The 21,549-nt window shown below is 40.8% G+C and overlaps 1 protein-coding gene and 1 long non-coding RNA gene across 3 annotated transcripts in view, besides 3 other annotated features; one reads left to right on the top strand and one right to left on the bottom strand.

Annotated features, from left to right (window-relative positions):
- Positions 1–528: 528 nt before the first annotated feature.
- On the bottom strand, positions 529–7,792 carry LOC101929178 (uncharacterized). The gene is made up of 2 exons (XR_254374.4): positions 7,609–7,792; positions 529–1,352 (listed from the first exon to the last, which is right to left on the bottom strand). It is a non-coding gene; the product is annotated as an uncharacterized LOC101929178 (long non-coding RNA).
- Positions 7,958–21,549, top strand: part of NOTCH2 (notch receptor 2) — a 158,110-nt gene continuing 144,518 nt past the window's right edge. For both annotated transcript variants that reach the window (NM_024408.4, NM_001200001.2), the window contains exon 1: positions 7,958–8,286. In NM_024408.4, the coding sequence (NP_077719.2) occupies positions 8,214–8,286 (73 nt within the window). In that variant the 5' untranslated portion in view covers positions 7,958–8,213. The remainder of the gene's footprint in view (positions 8,287–21,549) is intronic.
- Positions 15,690–16,227: an enhancer, noted in NCBI's record as "H3K27ac-H3K4me1 hESC enhancer chr1:120604007-120604544 (GRCh37/hg19 assembly coordinates)". NCBI's record gives its function as "activates a minimal SCP1, AML or CMV promoter by ChIP-STARR-seq in naive H9 embryonic stem cells {active_cell/tissue: H9 hESC(naive)}" and the evidence as "EXISTENCE:reporter gene assay evidence [ECO:0000049][PMID:30033119]".
- Positions 17,304–17,985: an enhancer, noted in NCBI's record as "OCT4-NANOG-H3K27ac-H3K4me1 hESC enhancer chr1:120602249-120602930 (GRCh37/hg19 assembly coordinates)". NCBI's record gives its function as "activates a minimal SCP1, AML or CMV promoter by ChIP-STARR-seq in primed H9 embryonic stem cells {active_cell/tissue: H9 hESC(primed)}" and the evidence as "EXISTENCE:reporter gene assay evidence [ECO:0000049][PMID:30033119]".
- Positions 17,986–18,668: an enhancer, noted in NCBI's record as "OCT4-NANOG-H3K27ac-H3K4me1 hESC enhancer chr1:120601566-120602248 (GRCh37/hg19 assembly coordinates)". NCBI's record gives its function as "activates a minimal SCP1, AML or CMV promoter by ChIP-STARR-seq in naive and primed H9 embryonic stem cells {active_cell/tissue: H9 hESC(naive and primed)}" and the evidence as "EXISTENCE:reporter gene assay evidence [ECO:0000049][PMID:30033119]".

Below are 21,549 nucleotides of genomic sequence, written 5' to 3'. Positions count from 1 at the left end.
TTAGAAGAGAGTATTTCAAAATAAAAAGTTGTAAGGTGAAAACAATCAGTAGAATTGTATGAACACCTCCCATATAAGGGGCAGATGCCAGGAAAAGAAGTCCTTAAGTTGAACCAGAGTTGGAAGCTGACAAGCAAGAGGTTGGATGCCACGATATAGAAGAGCACAAAAGAGGTATATGACCTAGCCCTTGACTCACAGTAAACTTGAGAGACTAGGCTTACAATAAATGATTCGAGGATAACTTATTCAGTTATCTAAACAACGGATGGGACTGGATCACTGAGGCAGTGACCTGTGGGCAGGCGGGACAATGCAGAGGTCAATTATGTGCCATCGGAGTTGATCAGATGGACCTGGGCTTAAATCCCTGTGCCACTGCTTAGCAGCTGTGTGATCTAAGACAACTTACTCAGGTTTCATTTTCTGCACTGTAAAGTAGAAATAATAATACCTACTCATAAGCTGTTGAAGCATTACAAACAATAAAGCAGGTAAAGTGCTTAATACAATGTTTGACACACAAAATTGCCATTATCGTTATTAACGTTTTATTGTTGCATCATCTATGAGTATTTATGATGGAGGAAACTGATTTAGACTAGGGGCACATTGAATTCTTTGGAGGGACTTCAGGGAGGTATCTTAAGAGCCGTGAGAGAGTCTCAGGGGGCAGTGAAGACTCCCTCACTGCTGGAACAATGCTGTGGGCTCACCCTAGGCCTTCAGGAGGGGAGAGAGATGTGCAAGGAGGAACTCCATGGTGGTTCTTCTTTTGCTAGTGTTTGTGCTACTTCCCCACTTCTAAACAGGTGCATAGTACTCCAGAGCACCCTTTCATCTTCCTTTCCCACTCTTCTGTTCTGTTTTTCTTCTCTTCAACTCTTCTTATTTCCCTTTTCTCCTCAAAACCAAGTGGTGGATGGGTAAGGAACTATACTATCTTTTGTGTGTTCTAACTTTGCCGTTTTTTTTTGTTTGTTTTTTTTTTTAATCTTAAAGGTTGTCTTCTAACTTCAGCACTCAGAGTTTACATAAGTAAGCCTGGGTTTACCCTACCCACTTCTTCCCTTATTTTTAAAATATCTATTTCCCCAACCATTGTCTTTAGTAAGTACTCTAAAATGACAGTCATCAGCAGAAACGCAAGGATTCCAGGCCATAAGAGTTTGATCAAGAAAGGATTTTTTGAGGTAGCTATATCTTGCAAAAGAAACAGAGGTGTGAACTGTCTGCAGGGCTCTTCTCGGCAATGAGGTGTTCCTTCTGGATTCAGATATAGATCTTAATGGGGTAAACATTCTAGGTCTTACCACCATCTGTTCTTCTTTTTCTGCTTAGACTGTTAGTACCTGTTATAAGAGGAAAGGAGGCAAAAGTGTGAAAGAGAAATGGTTGGATCAGTGGTCTGAGAAAGAGGATAAAGTAGTCATGTGACATTATTCTTAACAGAGATTAGAATGATTAAAAACAAAAACAAGTTGGTATCCAGGATATTCAGGTACAACCACCCCTCACCTGCTGATTCCAATTTCACATTCCATTCCACATTGATGAATAATAATAATGATGTACTTTTAGCTTTGTCAGAAATCCTATCTGCATATTTATAAGGTCATTATGTTTAGTTGTTGCTGATACCTGGTCTGAGTCCAGCAATTACCACCTCTGTCTCTTTGCACACACTGGTAGACATACACACCACTGATTTGTACTTTCCTATAAAATTACTCTTCCCCTTTTTAATTAGAGTGTTTTCAGAAGCAAACCCTATCGTTAAGGCCATGTATGCTTCCATTATAAATACCTGTTTCCAGCCATTAATTATCTCCCAATGAATTACTTACTTAGAAGGAGATTTTTAATGCATTTTTTTTTTTTTTTTTGGAGACAGGGTCTCACTTTGTCACCCAGACTGGAGTGGTGGAGTGGTGTGATCATGGCTTACTGCAGTCTTGACTTCTCAGGCACAGGTGATTCTTCCACCTCAGACTCCTGAGTGGCTGGGACCATAGGCGTGCACCACCATGCCCAGCTAATTTTTGTATTTTTTGTAGAGTTAGGGTTTCAACATGTTGCCCAGGCTGGTCTTGAACTCCTAGCCTCAAGCAATCCTCCCGTCTTGGCCTCCCAAAGTGCTGGGATTACAGGTGTGAATCATTGTGCCTGGCCTGTGCACACTTTTTATAATGGGATTTCTCTTCCTTACTTTTGATGTCCCCTCTCTCATACTTAGTTAACCATTTTGAATTCCACTTAGTAAGAAAAGTTTCCATTTTCTTTTTCTTCAGGGGACTTAGATATGATCTGCACCTAGATGGTAAGAAGATTTTCCATATTTTGAAGTAGAAACTTTCTGTATGCCTGAATCTTGCTGTCAAGAATGTCTTGGCTAATCATGAAGGAAGAATATAAGAATGTGAGTAAAAACAATTCAACAGTCCCTGAGAACAACGTCAATAAATATTCAAAATTGCATAACCATTTTAGTGACTAAAGCACTGAGACTCATCCAATAATACTGTGGTTTGATAATTACACAGTTGTGAATTTATGATACTGTTAAATTGGGGAGACATCTTGATGCATACAGGTCAACCCTTTCATACATCATTATATACAAAAAGTACACACCTACTTAGGAATTGAAGTGTAATACCTCCTAGCATAAAATGCTTAAAAGAAGATTTTAAGGGAGTGATACAGTGAGCATTCCTATATGAATTTTCCTGCTTATCTGAAGCATAGCAGAAGATGTGAAATTTCTAGGTAAGTTTTTTTTTTTTTTTTTTTGACAGGGTCTTGCTCTGTCACCCGAGCTGAAATGCAGCAGTGGTAACATGGTTCACTGCAGCCTCAACCTCCTGGGATCAAGTGGTCCTCCCACCTCAGCCTCCCAAGTAGCTGGGACTAGAGACATGCATCACCATGCCCAGTTAGTTTTTTAATTTTTTGTAGAGACAGGGTCTCACTTTGTGGCCCAGGCTGGTCTTGAACTCCTGGGCTCAAGCCATCCTTCTGCCTTGGACTCCCAAAGTGTTGGGATTACAGGTGTGGGCCACTGTGTCCTTCCTTAACATCAATAAAATTGAGATAATCACATTCATAAAAGGGCAAAACTATGTCAACAAGCCCACTGTATTAGTCTGTCTTCACAGTGCTGTAAAGAACTGCCCAAGACTGGGTAATTTATAAAGGAAACAGGTTAACTGACTCACAGTTTAGCATGGCTGGGAAGGCCTCAGGAAACTTAACAATCATGGCAGAAGGCAAAGGGGAAGCAAGGTACCTTCTTCATAAGGCAGCATGAAGGAAAATTAATGCAGGAGGAACTGCCAAACACATAAAACCATCAGATCTCATGAACTCACTCATTATCAGGAGAACAGCATGGGAGAAACCGCCCCCATGATTCAATTACCTCCACCTGGTCTCTCCCTTGACACATGGGGATTACAATTCAAAATAAGATATTGGGTGGGGACACAGGCAAACTATATCGCCCATATTACAATTACTTACATTACTGATTCCCTTAATTAGAGCAGAGGTAATTAATTGGGTCTAGGCTCAGTGGAAGGGTCTGGCTGGTTCTTAATTCTCAGAGCTAGTTTGAATCTTGAGGTTAACTTCTTGCCTTCTAGAACTTGTCCTGTGTTTGGCTGAACTCTGTGAACCTTTCAGAAAGTAGGTCTTTATTGAGCACATACTCTGTGCAAGGCAAAGAACCAACTACTGTGGAGTTTACAAACATGAATAAGGGGTAAGAAATGACTCTTGTCACATGGCTTACAGTCCAGCTGTGTGGGCCACCACAGTTCATATCTTTCAGGATGGGGACTGGATGAGAGGAAAGTGGACTCAAAATTAATCCCAGTGCTCTCTACTTTCCCATATCCCTGTGCTTTATCTCTGTTGTAGTTATGTTATTTGTATGTTGGCCTGCCTCACTGCTCTGTGATCTCCAAAGAACAGGGACTGGGTTTTATTTATTTCTGCATTGCCGCAGAGCCTAGTATGTGCTTTGTAGAGAACAGGCTCTCAAAAAAATTTTAAATTAAAAGAATTTATTCACTTGTTTATGTTTCCTAGTTACAGTGGGTCAGCTTGTTCTGTGCTAACATGGAAGTGACAAGAAGCTGGTGTCCCTCTACACAGAGGTCCCCACACTAAATATCATCTTGGATGTGCTTCACATTGTTGCACAAAGGTACAGTGGAGTGAGACTGAGTAAGAGGACAGAAATAGTGGGGGGTTTGTCTCAGCTCACTAATTACTTATTTAACCTTGGGCAAGATACTTAAAGCTCTATCTCAGTTTCTTCATCTGCAAAATGGGTATAATAATGACTGGGGTGCCTATTTCCCACGATTGTTTTGAGGATCAAATGAGATAATATAATTAAAAGTGTTTTTGGAAGGTCTAAATCACTGCGCAACTGCAAGGCATTATTAAAAGAAATCTTCCTTTTAATTCCTGCTTCCACAAACATCTCATCACATATCCTTGGGTTCCTGGGTTACATGGAGAGATTCGTGGTGTAGCTCAATCTATGTGTCATAGCTATCCCACAATCTCTTCTTCAACTTCTCCAACACACCAAGACATTCTTCCAGTCTTGCATTGTTCCCCAGTTTATATAGATATATATGTTCCTCATTCAGCATTTATGTAAAACATATATTATTGAGCACTTATGTGATAGAAACCGAGGCAAAACAGAAAATAAAACAGAGTTTTATTTTGAGAGTTTTTTTTACAGCTTATCGGCTCTGAGAGGACAGACATGAGAACAAATAAGTGCCCAATTCTGCATTTATTTTGGAAGGCAGTTTTATGTGAGTTTAAATCAGTAAAGACATAGATGTATATTTTTAGTTTTGATTAAAACTAAAACAATTGGTAGCCCTTATTCATATTTTTCTATCATTAAAACTTATCTTTAAAAAATGTCTTCAGTCATATTTTTCCCTTACTTCCATTCATATTTACTCTTTACTTCTCTTGTCCTTACCAGAATGTATGCAGTAAGTTTTCATATTGTAACATATTCAACAAAAGTTATATGTGAACATAATAGCTGCTTTCTTTAAAACGGTTACTTTGAGAAACTGCATACCTATTTTTTTTTTTTTTTTTTTTTTGAGACGGAGTTTCACTCTTGTTGTCCAGGCTGGAGTACAGTGGCACGATCTTGGCTCACTGCAATCTCTGCCTCCTGGGTTCAAGTGATTCTACTGCCTCAGTCTCCTGAGTAGCTGGGATTACAGGTGCTCGCCACCATGCCCGGCTAATTTTTGGTATTTTTAGTAGAGACGGGTTTTCAACATGTTGGCCAGGCTGGTCTCAAACTCCTGACCTCAGGTGATCTGCCCACCTCAGCTTCCCAAAGTGCTGGGATTATGACATAAGCCGCCACGCCTGGCCTGCACATTTATTTTAATAATGTTGTCATAGCTACAGTCGCTTCTAGAGTTGCTCTTTGGGGATAACTATCTTATATTCTTCTGAATATATTTTAATAGTGACAAAACTTATCTTTGCAGGTGATTTTTAAAATTTGTATGCAGCCAAGTCACTATGAATTATCTTTAGTGAGTAAAGAGGAAGATCGAACTGGTAACACTGTGGGTAAACAACTGAAAAATAATGTTATCTTTCTCTGAACATACTTGCACAAGACAAATTCCAAAAATATTTTGACTACATTATTTTTGAAAAGGGTTTCCAGTATTTCAATGTGACTACTTTCACTAATGGTACTTGCTTACCTAAAGTGCTTGTTAACATGCAGTTTTGGAACTTCATAGGTCTATGCCCATACTGACTTGTACTTGCTTAGTGTTGTTTCACATTCTAGTTCAACATCTATTATGTGATAGACACTGGGGATTAATAGGCTGTGGTCTTTGCCCATGAGGACCTCAAAACTTAGTTGAGAACACAGAAATACAAAGAGTCCTGTGTGAAAAATAAGTATCGGTGTTAAGATAAAGAAGCGGCAGTGGAAGACAGTGGAGGGACTGTCTGTTAGGGGGAGGAATTTATTGCGGTGTCGGCAAAGCCTTCTTTGGACTGAAGGATGAATTATGATTAGAAGTTCATTAAGAGGAGGAGGGAAGGGGACTACAGGAGTCATTCCAAGCCAAAGGAACAAAAGATACAGGGACAGAAACAGCAAGATATGTTTGGGGGAATCTCAAGTTAGTCAATACTGTTATTGTGTGAAGTTCACAACAGGGGCAGGGAGGACAGGAGATGGGGCCCAATGACGAAAAGGCCTTGTATGTACCATGTTTAGAAGTTTGAATTTTATCCTATAGGAGTCAGGGAGAGGTTCTATGGGTAGGATTTCCCATCCCAACAGGATTGTAAACTCCCACATCCAATTAGTCACACCTCCATTTTTTTTTTCTGTTTCTTTAACATTGTCTCGGATTCATTCCTTCTGAAATCTACCTTATTAGTTCAGGTCTTCTTAAATTTGTGCCTGGACTGTTCACCAACTCTTGACTGGTCCTGGGGCTCCAGTTCACCTCTTGCTCCCCCAACAATCAATTTTCTACAGAATTATCAGAGCAATCTTCCTTTCCATCAATCTCAACTCTGTTCAAAAACTTTCAATAGTTTTATGTGACCTAAGAGGTAGCTGCCTCCCCACCCTTTCAGCTTGCCATTCAAGGCTGCATAATTTGGTCCCAACCCCCTTTCCGTCCTTGACTCCTCTCACTGCTAACAGAGACAGAACTCATTTACTTACTCTTTTGACTGTACCTTTGCTTTCACGAGGGCTCTTTCCTGGAATGATATGTCCATACAACTATTGTTGCTGTTCTTACTTTTAGCTCTTTTCTTAGAAGCCCACTTGTACCCAGGTTTGATCACACCCCCTACTCTCCTGCCCTGGAAGTAACTACTATTCTGGTTATAGTCTCTTAATATCTATATCTATATATATGCATCCACAGATAATGTGTAGTATTGTCTTGAAAAAAATATACATAAATGGTATACTTTGTCTCCCTCTGTGATTAGTTTTTTCACTATCATTTAGTTTTTAAGATTTATCCCTATTGACATAAATAGCTATAGTCTTTTCAATTACTGTGTTGCATTTCATTTTATAAATATACCATACATTATTCATCCATTCCTCTAAGGGTGGGCATTTATGTTGTTTTCAAGGTTTTGCTATTACAGTGTTACAACGAATATCCTTAGCTTAGCTGGTCTCCTTGTCTTATACAAATTTTACTGACCTTTCAAGATCCTGCTTTCATCCCAGCTCCTCTGGGAAAGCCTTCCCTGAATCCCCCAGCCCACAGCGGCAAAGTCTTGGTACTCAAAGTTGCTTGTGCATCTTTGGTATCATCCCACTGCCAAGCACACAGCTACGCAAAGTAAGGCACTTAAGAAATATTCGCTACACGGATGAACAAATGAATGAATGAATGGGGCAGCACCACTCCGTGATGGCTCTATTCCTTTTTAATGGACTTTGGCGCCTTGGCCCACTTTCCTTCTTTGACAGCACTGGTCCTACTCCAGAGCATTCCTCTAGCTAGCAAAGCAGTGTGTGGATGTGTGGGTGTAGGTGGCGATACAGACCTCACTGGATGAGGACCGCCTCTCCCTGCAAGTTCACGATCCCGGCAAACTCCAGTGCTTGAAGTTCAGAGTCCTACCCCACCCCCCTCACCCCCACGCCCCTTCTGCACTGGTCAAGCCAGCGAGCCGCTGCAGCCCTGATCGAGTTAAGGCGCGGCGGCCCCCGGGGCCGCTGGAGAAGGATGCGGACGGGGCCAGTGACTCGTAGTAGATCCCTCCGCGCGGAGCTCGGGCCGGCGCTTCTTCCTGCGGGAAACCCCTGGGTGCCCAAGGCGGCGGGGCCGAGGCCGCGGCGACAGTGGGGCGGGGCTTGCGGTGGGAGGAGGCGGCTGAGGCGGAAGGACACACGAGGCTGCTTCGTTGCACACCCGAGAAAGTTTCAGCCAAACTTCGGGCGGCGGCTGAGGCGGCGGCCGAGGAGCGGCGGACTCGGGGCGCGGGGAGTCGAGGCATTTGCGCCTGGGCTTCGGAGCGTAGCGCCAGGGCCTGAGCCTTTGAAGCAGGAGGAGGGGAGGAGAGAGTGGGGCTCCTCTATCGGGACCCCCTCCCCATGTGGATCTGCCCAGGCGGCGGCGGCGGCGGCGGAGGAGGAGGCGACCGAGAAGATGCCCGCCCTGCGCCCCGCTCTGCTGTGGGCGCTGCTGGCGCTCTGGCTGTGCTGCGCGGCCCCCGCGCATGGTGAGTATCGGGCTGAGGGGCGCTGTCCGCGGCGCCCGGGGCTGCCACCTGGGGCGACCCTTCTCCCCCTCGGTCCTTCTCTGTGTGGGAAGGCCAGGCTCGGCCGCCGGCGCGGAGCGAGGCCACTCGCTGGGTTCCCAAGAGTTTGGACATCGCCGGGGGCCCCTCCCGTGGTGCCCCGCCAACCGCCGGGGTTCCCCGCCGCCTCTGCTCCCCGCGGCCCGGGACCCCTTACACGCCTCCTCGGCAGGAGGGAGGCCGGCAGCAAGTCTCAGAAACTCCTTTTTCGTAGTGCCAGGGTGCAGGGAGGTGGGCAGTTTTGCCCTTCAGGTTCCGCGTTTCTTGGGGTCGAGCGAGAGCCGACGGCGGGCCTCGGAGGGGCTGAGCGAAGGAATGCCAGATTCTGGCGTGGAGAGCGGGGGCAGGGCCGCCAAGCCAAACGGCCTGCACCGTCGCAGCCAGCCTCGCCTTTGCCAGGGGGCGGCACATGGGCCGGGTGTGTGGGCTTGGTTTGGATGGGGACGGGGTTTTGCGGCGCGCCTGAGTTTTGACACTCCAACCCCACCGAAAGTCCGGGGGAGCCGTGTGTGCTGCTCGCGTCTTTGAAAGGTGGAGGCAGGAGAAGTAGGGCAACTGGTGTGGCTGCATGCTGAGGCACATGATTTAAAAATCTCAACTGCTGTTATTCTTTCCGAGGCGCGGAGCTCTGCTGCTGTTTCAGGCTGTGTCCAGACCCAGGAATGTGGTGTGACGATCACCAATTCCTCCAACCTGGCAGCAGCATTTGCTGCTCCTTTGGCATGGCTGGGGGTGGGGCACGGGCGGGTGAGAAAAAGTGGATACGTTAATTCAAAGGGCTTCCTTAGAAAGCTTCTTTATGGTTGGATGTTTCTAACACGGTTGGACCAAGGAAAGGGAATCAAATCATATCTTCCCCATCCCACCCACACTTTTAGATTCTACATTTCTTCAGACCCTTTAGTGGAAATAACTTGGGCTTTGGAGCCCTGCTCTGTAATCCTGGATTCAAATCCAGCTCTGCTATATGAACTCACCAATAAAATGGGAAAGAAATTATCCAGCTAATAGGATTAATTAAAATAATGTATATTAAACGGATGACACTCCAAAGGTGTTCAGAAAGTCCTTTCAGGGCCGAGGCTGTGTTTTACTGCTTCTGAGATTGATGCTCCCAGTGGGATGCTGTCTTGTGCATATTTGTTGAACGGAAAGCAGCCCCTTCTTTTTCTGAGCCTAATCTGAATAAAGATTTTTACCTTCACCAAAAAACTAGTACATGAACTACATCTGTTTTCAAAGAAAAGGTTAGGAAGATGATGAGCTTCAGAAAAATATGGTCTTTGTTCATTGTTAACAGTCAGTCGACATGTCAATCGCAGATGTTTAAAAAGAGAACAAGGTTATTTATCACCCGAAAATAGTACTGGGTTGTTCAGCACCAACTAGATACTTCTTGGAAAGTTCAAATTTCGTACACGTCTAGGTCACTAAGAATTTCAGAAGTGGACCAGGAGGCTTTGTAGTGATGAAGCAGAGCCGTTGTTTCTGAAGCATTTAATAAAGAGCATATATGATGGTGTTTTTGCTTTTCCTTTTTCTTTGAGTGAAAGCTTTAAGTGTAGCTTTAGGATAGAGAGGAGTATGATCAATGAGACAGTCTGAGGGTAATAATCCTTGGTCTATCATTAACTTGTTTTGGTAAATAACTTAATCTTCATGATATGTAGTCTCCTCACCTATGAAGCAGGACTAAAGGAATAACCTGCTTTAGAGAATTGTAGGGAATAATAAATATAATTGTAAAGTGATTTGAAAAATTAAGTATTAAATAATATGATATCAGAAATGGGATTACTCTGACACATAGGGCTTCTTTTATTATAGGATCTCAGTGCATAAAACTATGCCCTCCACCTCTGCTCTGCTGAGGTGCTGCGATTATTAGCTAGCTTTTAGGTAGTCAAGTTGAGTGTTAGTCAAGTTGACTCAAAGGATAGGATTTAGATATTTTGATTTTTAGACAGGTGTTCTTTAGATGCTAAACTAATGCAGTAGAAGAGATTTAGAAGCCGTTTCTCGGTACAAATCTTAAATCTTCTTAGAGTCTACAGTGAAGGCTTCTTGAATCCTCTTAATTTATTATTGTGTTTTGCTAAGGTACCAGTTGCAGCACACCCTTCTAAACTTTTGAGTGTTCCTGTGTTTGGCTTGTGGCCAATTGTTAATTTAAACATCACGGAGTTTCTAAGGCAAGGAGATGTTAGCAGTATGTCTGATTGTCTAAACAGCTATCCAGGACCATCCTCTTGCTCCTTGTTTTCTTTTGCTTTGCAATGGGAAGTGACTCCCTGATTTTGCTGCCTGCTAGATAATTTCTCAGCTGAATTCTTCTCTTGCTTAAACAAAATCGGAGTAATTTTCTTTCAGATGGTGATGAAATTTAACCTAAAACTATTTTTCCTTTCACTTTCTTATTATTCCTTTTTTTTTGGTGTGGTGGAGAGGAGGAGGAGAGTGATTCCTAGTCTCTCTTATTTTTCTGAATGTTTAGATTTAAAAAATATTTACCCATAACTTCTTGGGATCTCTCTGCTCCATTCCCACCCTACTGCCTCTCCTGTAGGCTTCTATGACATAGAGGAGCAACTTTTGGTTCACCTGGATTGTAGTTGCTGACTTCAGGACCTTTAGAGAATGTTTAAATTCAGTGGGATATGCTTGGATGGTTCAGAGCAGCCTTACAATACATCTTAAAAATATCACACCCACAGAAATTCTATTTTGCCCACAAAATTTGCATTGATCTAGTTCCCACTCTGTGTTGCCATTCCTAGTGATCCTCCTCCCTACCTCTCCCATTATGGTAGAAAAAACTCTGTGTCCTGGCTACATCAAAATCTGTTGGGGTGGATCTTGGACTCAGCACCCAGGGATTCTGATAAGGTAAGTTTGAGAATCCATATTTTTTCAAGGTTTACAGGTGATTCTGACAAGTAACTTGGTTGCAACCCACTGATTAAGTACATTTTTTTTTACCTTCAGGTGTGTGTATGAGGTCTTTCTAAATTTAAGAAATTTCCATAACAAATGTAACCTTAGTCATTCCAGTGTTTAACGCTTCTGACTCAAGGAATTTAAAAATTGCTAACGTAAGAGATATAGAATATAATGTCATTTCTTCTATTTATCTGGGTGCAATATGTCTGCATTGACCCTTTAGAAGGGCTTCATATATTTAGATGATATAATAAATTCTCCACCTCTCCTTTTCCCTTTTCTTCTGTTATCTCTTTTTCCTTAAATGTCATTCATACATGTTGTTTTTTGACCCTTTATCTATATACGTCTGCAATGATTTTAGAGTAAAAAACTGCAAGGCGTGATTTGAATAAGGATATAAGAAATTTTACATCATTTTCTTTATATTGTGTTCACAGTCCATAGTTACATGCTTCCTTTCTTGATGTCTCAGTTCGAATGCCTAAATTTGAACTATTGATTTTCCTTCCACCCTTTCCTGATTTTCCTGTTTTTGTTTCTCCCCCTTTCTCTGCAAATGACTTGAAACCAAAAGGTCTTCTTTTCTTTCTTTGTCAGCCTACCGTATGTGTAGTATTTTGGACAGATCACTGAACTAGGAGCCAGAAGACCAGAATTCTTCTCCAGGTCTGTTATTAATTGGTTTGGTGACCTTGTAGGAGAGCCACTGTTTCCGTCCTCCATTTTCTGATGTTCATTGTTCATGGTCACAGAGCCAATTAGAGTTGAGACTAGAATTCCTTTCTTCTGGTGTCCAGTGCCTCATTCACTGTCCTCATTGCTTCCATCTCGTGTACAAATGCGCTTATGTGCACAAAAACTCTTATAACATCCTCAAGTGCTTATTGTTAATGCGTACATGAGGAAGGAATCGTGTATTTTCATTTATGTGTTTATTCTAATGCCCATACCCTACCCCTGTACCTGGCATGATGCCTTGGTATCTAATAGGCACACAATAAATACTTGTTCAGTCGAACAATTATTTTTAGCCATTTTCTTATTTTGGACAACTGTGGTACTCCTAGACATTTTAAAAACAGTATTTGCAGGAGTCATGCTTACCTTACATTTGGGGAAAAACCAAATTTTTCCCTTCCCCAGATGTTTCATTTTAACTTGTAATTTTGAATTTCTTTGTGTGTGGGGTTTCTTTCTTTCTTTTTCTGATCACTTCTGCAATTTATAAAGGTCACTTTGACTTTGGAATCTCACTTCAAAGGCACTGCCATCCACCCCCTGCCTCTCACTCAAGTTTGCTTCCACTGCTTCCTGTATTACTGTATTACTAGGCCAGCAATTTCTGTTATTTTGTCCAGAATAGCCACACCTTATTGTAATTTCATCATTTTGGGGACTAGTCATTTTTGGAATACTATTTTTAAAATTAGAGTTAACTAAGTTTATATTTATTTTGATAATTTTTTTTGAGATTTTTTTCATTGAGTTGGATATTGCAAACTTGTACTGGATTGAGAGAATATGTACATTTAGTAAAGTATATTTGCTTTTTTTTTTTTTTGAACCAAGAGAGTCCCCTGAACACCCTACTGACAAAAACTAAAGATGAAATATGATGAATAAATATTTGAGAGAATCACATGGTGTTGAGTTGTCTCTGCCACATGATTTTGATCCTTGAGGGCCAGGTCTGTGCTACACACATTTCTTCTCTGTACTACAGAACTTGTCTGGCATGTGCCCCAAATTCAGAGTCAACTGAGCAGCAGGTCTTAGTCACAGCATCTATGACTCCTGCTTTCCCACCTTTAGAACATTCTATAGGAGAGGCTGATGGTGAGTTGGAGTGTGTTTCTATGTTCTTTTTTCCTTTGAAGAGATAGGATCAGTTGAAAGCTGACCCCACCCACAGACTTTTTTTGCTATCTCTTTTAATTAATTAAGGAGTGGCTGAAATTTTCCTCTTTGTTGACTTATGCATTGGCGGGAACTTTAAAATTCATCTAGTCTTTCTGTCCATCCCATGCTGGATCTGATGTTTACAACATTCTAGTCAAGAGGTACCATATTTTCTCTCTTCTTGAACATCTCTTGTGGTAGACAGCTCTCCACAGCAGTTTATTCCATCTTTGGCCAGCTCTAATTCTTAGAAAGATCTTCTTATATTCAGCTGTAATCCGTCTCCTCATGACTTGTCCTCATTGACATCTACTCAGAAATTTGTCTCAGAGTCCTGAGACCTGTGCAGGTGATAGGGACCCAAAGAGATGCTTGTCTGTAGACTTTACTGAGCTGACACCCAGCTCTCCATAAAAGGAGTCAAACCCAGTGAGGAGCATGTCTGAGGTGATTGCTCAGGTAAAGCATCTTAGCCCTACTTGTTTCATACCTCCCTGCACAGGTGGGCACTGGTGGGAGAATAACATTTATCAAGCAGTGTTTCCCTAACCTCTCTTATGATAAGAATAGCTCAGGTGTTCTCATGGAGATTCTGATTCAGTGCATCTGGAGTGTCATCTGGGAATTTGTGTGTTCAAGAAATAGCCAGGTGATTCTTACATTAGGAAAGTTTTAGAATCACTGCAGAGTGAATCTGGGAAATCAAAGTGTTTTTGTTTGTTTGTTTTTTGAGAGTATTAGAGACAGGTTGCTTTGGCTAGATCCTGTGGTCATTTTTCCCCCTTGGAAATGCCTCCTACTTGCTGGCCTCACTTAGTACAGAGAAGAAAGCTGCTATGGTATAAGGTTAGTAAAGTTGTTTTGTCTTAAAAGAAATTTGCGAAATCCAGCATTTTCAGACTTCTGTTTGTGTTGTATGACTTTGTTGTAAGCCTCCTTATTCCTCCATTAGAATGTTACCTGAGATGTTAGAATGCATAGGAGTTCCACAGCCTTTTTGGTGTCCACTAAAGAATTCTGTCCTCAGCCGTTGCAAATGGTGCTTCCTTTGAGGATTTCTGCTTCATTAGCTCATGAACACATATTTGGTGTCGGCAGTTTCCCTCAGATGTGTTAGTGTGGAGAGATATAAAGGTCACTCATTTCTGGCAGTCCTGCTTTTGGGGTTTCTGGGCTGCTGCAGCAAATGAAATAAGGAAAGGAAAATAAAGGAGGAATCTAGGGCTTCTTGAGCAGAACAAAACAATCTGCAAGAAGGGGCACAGGATTGCTCCTCTCACAAAGACACTTGATAATACTGTCCTTGATAGGAAGAAGGAAGTGGCTTCAGATCTGAAAGGATATGCTCATAGGCTTGAGACGGGACAAACTGCATCACTGGTAGTGGTAGGAGGTTTGCCGTAGATCTGTTTTTTCTCCTGTCTCTCTTTTTTGAGGAGAATATTATCTGTATGGCAGAACATACGTTGTGGTCTTAAAAAGGAGAGTAAAGCCAAGAAAGGGGGATGATAAAGCCATAGCTTGGAATAAGAAAAGCAAAGGAATTATTGTATTAACTTGTGTATGTAAATACATAGGTTTCCATGTAATTCACTGGTAGGATCACTAGCCCTTGGCACTAACATTTGCTATCTTTGTAGCTCTGCTGTCTTAGTGGTGTATTGGGGGAGCATTGTGGTGTGTTGTCACACTTAATTTGTGTGCTTCCCTTGGCATCATGTGGTAGCAAGTACAGGGTATTCTCCTCTTCTAGATGTGTGGGAATCATTGACCAAGTAGAAAATATGGTCCTGCTCCCAAGGAGCTGACATCATCATGGAGACAAGACAGATAAGCACACAATTAGGAATATGAAATACAGTTATTTTATCATTTATCTATGCTCTCTGAAAGCAGTTTCCTGCAGTCAGGGTGACTCGGAGCTATAGGGTCTTGGGAGTAAACTTCAGGTCTTAATACCACCAGGGAAAGGCGACCTCCAGCTCACCCTTGCTGGGCTTGTCTGCTGTCGTGAGCTGTCTGCCATTTTCCTCTTTCTGTGTTGTAATTTAGAAGTATTAGAACTTGGCTTGGGGAAAAGACAAAAACCCCTTTGTCTGGTGAGGGTGTAAATATAAATTTGGCACATGTTGTGGTGTCTATTATGTCTGTTAGTGGGTTTGCGGCAAGAGAGAGTGCTGTGTTCTTAGTCCCGAATGCCAAGCCTGAACTAGGACAAGTTATGGTGGAGATATCTTCCTTGGAAGATGCAGTTCTCAGTGGCAGTGGCTGAAGGAACTTCTCGTCACAGCCAGGCAGTGACTGAAGTGTGGTGTGGACACACCCAGAGTTGCTGCCTCAGGTGGCATTGATTAATCATACTAATATCTCCCTCACCCTTTTGTACTTGTCTTGGCAAAACCCTGTTCTACTAGCTCCCCAATAGTTTGGCCTTTACTAGGTATGATTGAACAAGCTCTTGGGGGTTCACCTTAGTGTCCCTTGCCCCTCTCGCATTTCCAGCCAGCTACGTCGCTCCAGCCATGGTACCCCGGGTCCTCTGGCCAGGCAGTGAGGGGCTGGGTTTTTCTTCCCATTGGACTGAAGCACCTTTCCCTGGAGGCTTGCCTAGGGCAGTTTCTGGTCTCCGAGTCAGTTCCTTCTGCAGGATACTGGCAGCTGGCAGAACTCTGGGTTATTTGAATACATCAGCCAAACATCTTGCCAAGATGGACTCATTGTTGCATAAAGACAGGTTGGATCTATGGGTGTTGCAGAACCTGTTTCTGGGTTAAGAGTAGCTCTCTCACCCTTATTATATATGTTTATTCATATGATGAATGTATGTGTGTATTTTGTGAAGTAAGGAAAACATGATGATAATATTGTGGTTGGAGTTAGATACCTTATCCTAAATATGTTGTCTTTTTAACAAATAGCATTCCTTTAAAATACAGTTGTGCTTGATGAATAAGGTGTTGTACAAGAAGCTGTGGTTACATTCTAAAATAAACTGCCTTGTTCTGAGGCAGGCACGTTTTAAAATTGTTGTTTGCTTCTTTTTCATCTCTTTTTATTTTCATCTTTTTTTTTGTGAGAAGATTCTGTAAGTTTTTAAGCTTCAAATATTTTCAATAATCTATTTTAACGGGTACCTAGCAGGGAGAGGTTGTTCTATTGGTATACCTAACCAACATTCAAATAAGAATAATTGAATACTGTTTACTCACTAATCTGTTCTGTTGAGTTTCTAAGTATGAATAATCACAAAACTAGATAGTGCTGATATATCAACTTCTCTAAATGGTAAATGTGGTAAGTAGCAAAGACATTTTTGTTTAATTCTCTCCTTACACATGCTTTGGTTCAGACGCTGTCAAGACACATTGAAGTTTGAGGACATGTGTATTTCGATTATTTTATTATATTTTTATTTGCTGTGAATATGGGTTTATTTATTTGCTAGATCTTCTTTAGTTAGAAACATTAAGGGCATTTACTTTATTACAACATTTAAAGTGCATTCTAATCTTCATGAGGAATTTTAGGTAAAAGACCGTATCCTGAGATTCATGCAAGTCTTTGGCATTATGTTACTATTTAAAGTAAGTAATATGTAGTGGCTTCTCTGACATATTCTTTCTAAGAGAGTTAAGGAAAATAGTTGTAACTAAAAACAAACATTGAAACAGTTTAAGGTAGGTTTACGTAGCAACAGAATTATTCGTTATGTTTACAGATAATTAACTCGTATTTATACTTTGCTGATTTTCTCTGGCACCTTTACAAGATTTTTTTATTTTTGTAAAATAAAAAGTAATTATGTTTGAAAAAGTAGTTAAGGATGTTTGAAGAATCTAGAAAAGCATAAATAAAATGTCCACAATCATGCTGCCATTAATTTTTTGGTATACGTCTTTGGTTTTTTTACCCTTAGATTTAGAAAAGCTGTTGATTTATTTTTATATATATATATATATATATTTAGTTTATGAACAGATCTACATATATATATATGCACACACACATAATATACTATTGTCAACACTAGGTTTTATTTTTAAAAATCTTTACCATTTGATAAGTGGTAAATATTACTTAATCTTAATATGCCTCTCTCATTACAGTGATATTGAATGTTTTTTCATATCATCAGTGGCGTTTGTATTGCCTTTTTTTCTACTTCTTTTGGTAAATTGTGTCTTTTACTCATTTAATTATTTTCTTACTGGTTTGAAAAAGCTCTTTAAATATTAAGGGTGTTAGTCTTTTGTCTTAAATATGTCACAATATGTATGGAAATAATTAGCAGTATATAACATAACATCAAATTGCTACCAATGTTGATATAAAAATTGTTCATTTCATAGGTTAATTTTTTTAATCCTTTGGTTTCTAATGATATTGGTTAATTCATTTGTTAACTGCTATTTTCTGTAGCTACTTGAAAGTTCTTATCTGACTGTATCGTAAATCAGCATGCTTTCAGCTGTATATGTCTAGGAAATTGACATTTACTTTAATACTTAATAAAAAAATATGTTGGAGAAAAGCAGTGTATTCTGGAGTCAAATACATGATTTTGGGTGGGTGACGTAATCGGCTACTGTCCTCCTTTTCTAGATAGCCAAGATTTTTGAAGCATTTAACATCCCTGAAAGGCAGGACTAATGCTATGTCTACCATGCACTGCTAATTCTGACACTTTGACCTAATGGATAAATGCCAGTACAGTGGGTCTAGCCAGTTAGCTTGGTCAGAGAACAAGATGACTAAGATTCTCTCCCCCTTTCCTCACCAAATTGATTAGTTGTAGGACAGAACTGACTGAAGCAACCTGTTGTTTTGGCAACCCATGGACACCACCTGTTTCTTCCATTCCTCTGTCCAGCCTCTCACTGCCCTAGTGCAGTGCTGTGTGCACAGTGGGTAGGAGATCAATGTTGTTGCTAAAGAATGTAGCAATAAAGAAGAGTAGATTGCTTTTTTTCCAAGCTTTTGTGTTTTTAAGGCACCCCGCTGGTTTTGACATTCGTTGCTCCAGCTGAACTGCTCTATGCTGAAGCCCTGCAGGTCTCAAGTGTTTGGTTCAGAGTAATTTCAGGCCATATGAATGCTTTCTTAAGTATCATTGGAATTTACTGGGCTGGCTGTCTGCCAGCTATTACCATATTTAGCATGAAGAGACCTGGGGAATGAGGACATTTCTGATCAACCAAGGAAGGAAACCTATTTGAAGGATTACAATATTTTCTTTTTTTTTTTTTTTAATGGTGTAGTTCAGAAAACGCCAGTTAGACCGAGACTCAAATTTATGTCCACTGGTCTTTGTTTCTGTGCCCCATCCCAAAATTAATTTATGAATAGGAAAAGAGATTTGATAGTGAAGTTCTTTCTCACTCTGAAGTCTAATACTGTTTCTGGGAGGAAGTAAGAGAATTATTATGCCCACACTGTGCACTGAGAGGCTTAACCAGCAGGTGAAGCTGTTGATTAAAAACATAGGTTGATGAGTATTCTCATTTTTCTCCTTTGAAGCTTTCAGAAATTTTCTGCTTTGTCCTGGTCTAAATTTATTTTGGCCCAGCCCTTGTCTCCACCCTACATTTCAAACCAGTAGCCTTCCCTCTATGGCTCAACATTTCTCTGCCTCAGTTTTTTCCATTTTAAAGATGAAGATATTGTTTGGAAGGACCAGTAAATACAATTAATATAAAAATTACTTCTGTAGAATCAAACAACCTCCAACATTTCTGTTGGAAATTTATAATTTATAGAGTATTCTTACACAGTGATCTCCTTTAATCCTCACAAACTTGGTGGAAATGGAGCCTCACAGGGGTTAGGTGACTTGTATACATTGTTTACCCCTACATAATAAGTGACAGAGCTGGTACTTAAACTTGTGGCTTGATTTTTCTTTTTTTTTGAGTTGGAGTTTTGCTCTTGTTGCCCAGGCTGGAGTGCAATGGCGCAATCTTGGCTCACCGCAACCTCCACCTCCCGGGTTCAAGTGATTCTCCTGCCTCAGCCTCCCGAGTAGCTGGAATTACAGGCATGCACCACAACGCCTGGCTAATTTTTTGTAGTTTTAGTAGAGACGGGGTTTCTCTATGTTGGGCAGGCTGGTCTCGTACTCCTGACCTCAGGTGATCCGCCCGCCTCAGCCTCCCAAAGTGCTGGGATTACAGGCGTGAGCCACCGTGCCTGGTCCTTGCAGCTTGATTTTTTAAACATCAGATTTTTTTTTCTTTTTTGATTTTTATTATTATGTGTCTATCATTCTGCTAGGGGCTTTGCAAATATTGCTTTATTTAATTCATATGGCTATCCTTTGGAGTAGACAATATTTTTCTACATTATAGGTAAGGAATTTGGAACTTAGGTTCACAGCTTTGGATGTTGGCCTATGGTTAGTGAGGGGTGTAGCCAGGATTCAAACCCCTGTCTGGCTCTAGGGCCGCTGCAATAAATCATGGTGTTTTATGTACATTCATACACTTAACACTTTGCAACAACCCTAAGAGACAGGGGTAGGTATTTAGGGAAACTGGGGCTTCTAACTTGCACAGGATAATGCAGTTAGTAAGTGGCTTAGTCGAGATTCAGAGCTAGATCTGTCTCCATAACCCTCACTCATTCCAGGATACTGCAGATGCCTATTTTTATGATATGTATAAGTAAAAATTAATTTGAAAAACTACCTTCTTTGAAGGGTCAGCCAGTTAGAACTCTTTTGTATCTTCTGAATAAGTAAGAAGTGGATGGACATTAGCTGACCGATACATTGATGGCTTTTAACCTTCTATCAGTTGATTTCCATTACCAGGACAAGCAAATATAATTTGGAGGGAAAAGAGGGGAGTTTCCATTAAGGATGAATCTTTAAGCCGAAAAGGGCCACAGTGATGAACTCTTCAGAGGACTGCTCTCAGGAGCAATGGCCCTTCTCCTCTGGGCTCTGCTTGGGGCATTCCTGTTTGTATTTATGGAGACATCTTTTTGAAAGGCAGATACCAGCTTTGGTGGGGAGAAGGTTGGAAAACATACAAGCCTTGCTCTAAATTTACTAGCCCCGTGTCTTTGGGCTAGTTTCTGAAGCATGGTGTGCCTCAATTTTATTATTTTAAAAATAAAGATAGTAGCAGTATATTTTGGAGTTGTTATGAAGATAATATCAGTTAATAAATGTTAGATTCATTGGACAGTACCAGGCACATAGTTAAAGTGCAGTAAATAGTAGTTATTGTTGGTATTGGTGTTATTTTATGTTGTAGTACAGACTGGCTTCTTGGTGCATTCACTTTTCTTTAATCAAAAGTGGATGAGTGATTGGGAACCTTCATGAGGAAATAGGAACATCATCTTTGCAACCTGTGGATTGTTCACTGGTTTCCTGTGATCTAATAATTATTTAAGGGTTTCATATTTGAGTCTCTTCCCTTAATGAGGTACACTTTCAGTTTGGGGAGATTTTATCTATAGGCATACCTTATTTTATTGTGTGTTCCCTTTTATTGTGCTTCACAGATTTTGTTTTATTTTTTACAAATTGAAAGTTTGTGGCAACCCTATGTCGAGCAAATGTATCAGCACCATTTTTTCCAATAGCATATACTCACTATATGTCCCTGTGTCAGTATTTTTTAGCAATAAAGTATTTTTAAACTCAGGTATATGCATTATGCTTTAGACATAATGCTGTTGCATGCTTAATGGACTAGAGTATACTGTAAACATAACTTTTGTATGCACTGGGGAACCAAAAAATTTCTGACTTGCTTCATTGTACTGTTTGCTTTATTGAGGTGATCTGGAGCTGAAGCCACAATATCACAAAGGTATGCTTGTATTATGCAAATTGCATTGATAGGTGTTAAATCATTTTCCCATTTTTTATTAACCACACATTTGTGATTGGATGTTATGTTTAGTAAAGATATTGTGATTTTCTGAGGTACAGCTTTGAGAACAGTATCAGGTCTAACACTCTTGTTTCCAAATTTCCTATGATATGACAAACATAATCACATGCCATCCAGTGTCACCATGCAGAGTACTAATGTGAAGCCAAAATACTTGGTGTTTTAATTAGCCTTAAAGCAGTTAACGAACTATCTCTGTTAGACATTTTGAAATAATAAAAATATCCCATTGTCTTTTATTACAACCTCAGGGGCTCCTGGAGATTTTGGGATCTTGTGTGGGGAACCACCCATCTAATCCATCCTTGTTTTAAAGAGAGAAAACCAAAGAAGCAAAGTGACTGGCCCAAGTACCTAGAGCTGGGTCAGGGTTGGGGCCAGAATCCAATCTCTTGACTTTTAGTCAAGTGATTTTTCCACTATGCTCAGTACTCAAATT

Source organism: Homo sapiens, chromosome 1 (genome assembly GCF_000001405.40).
Source record: "Homo sapiens chromosome 1, GRCh38.p14 Primary Assembly".
Classification (NCBI taxonomy): domain Eukaryota; kingdom Metazoa; phylum Chordata; class Mammalia; order Primates; family Hominidae; genus Homo; species Homo sapiens.
This window is presented reverse-complemented; position numbering and strand designations above follow the sequence as displayed.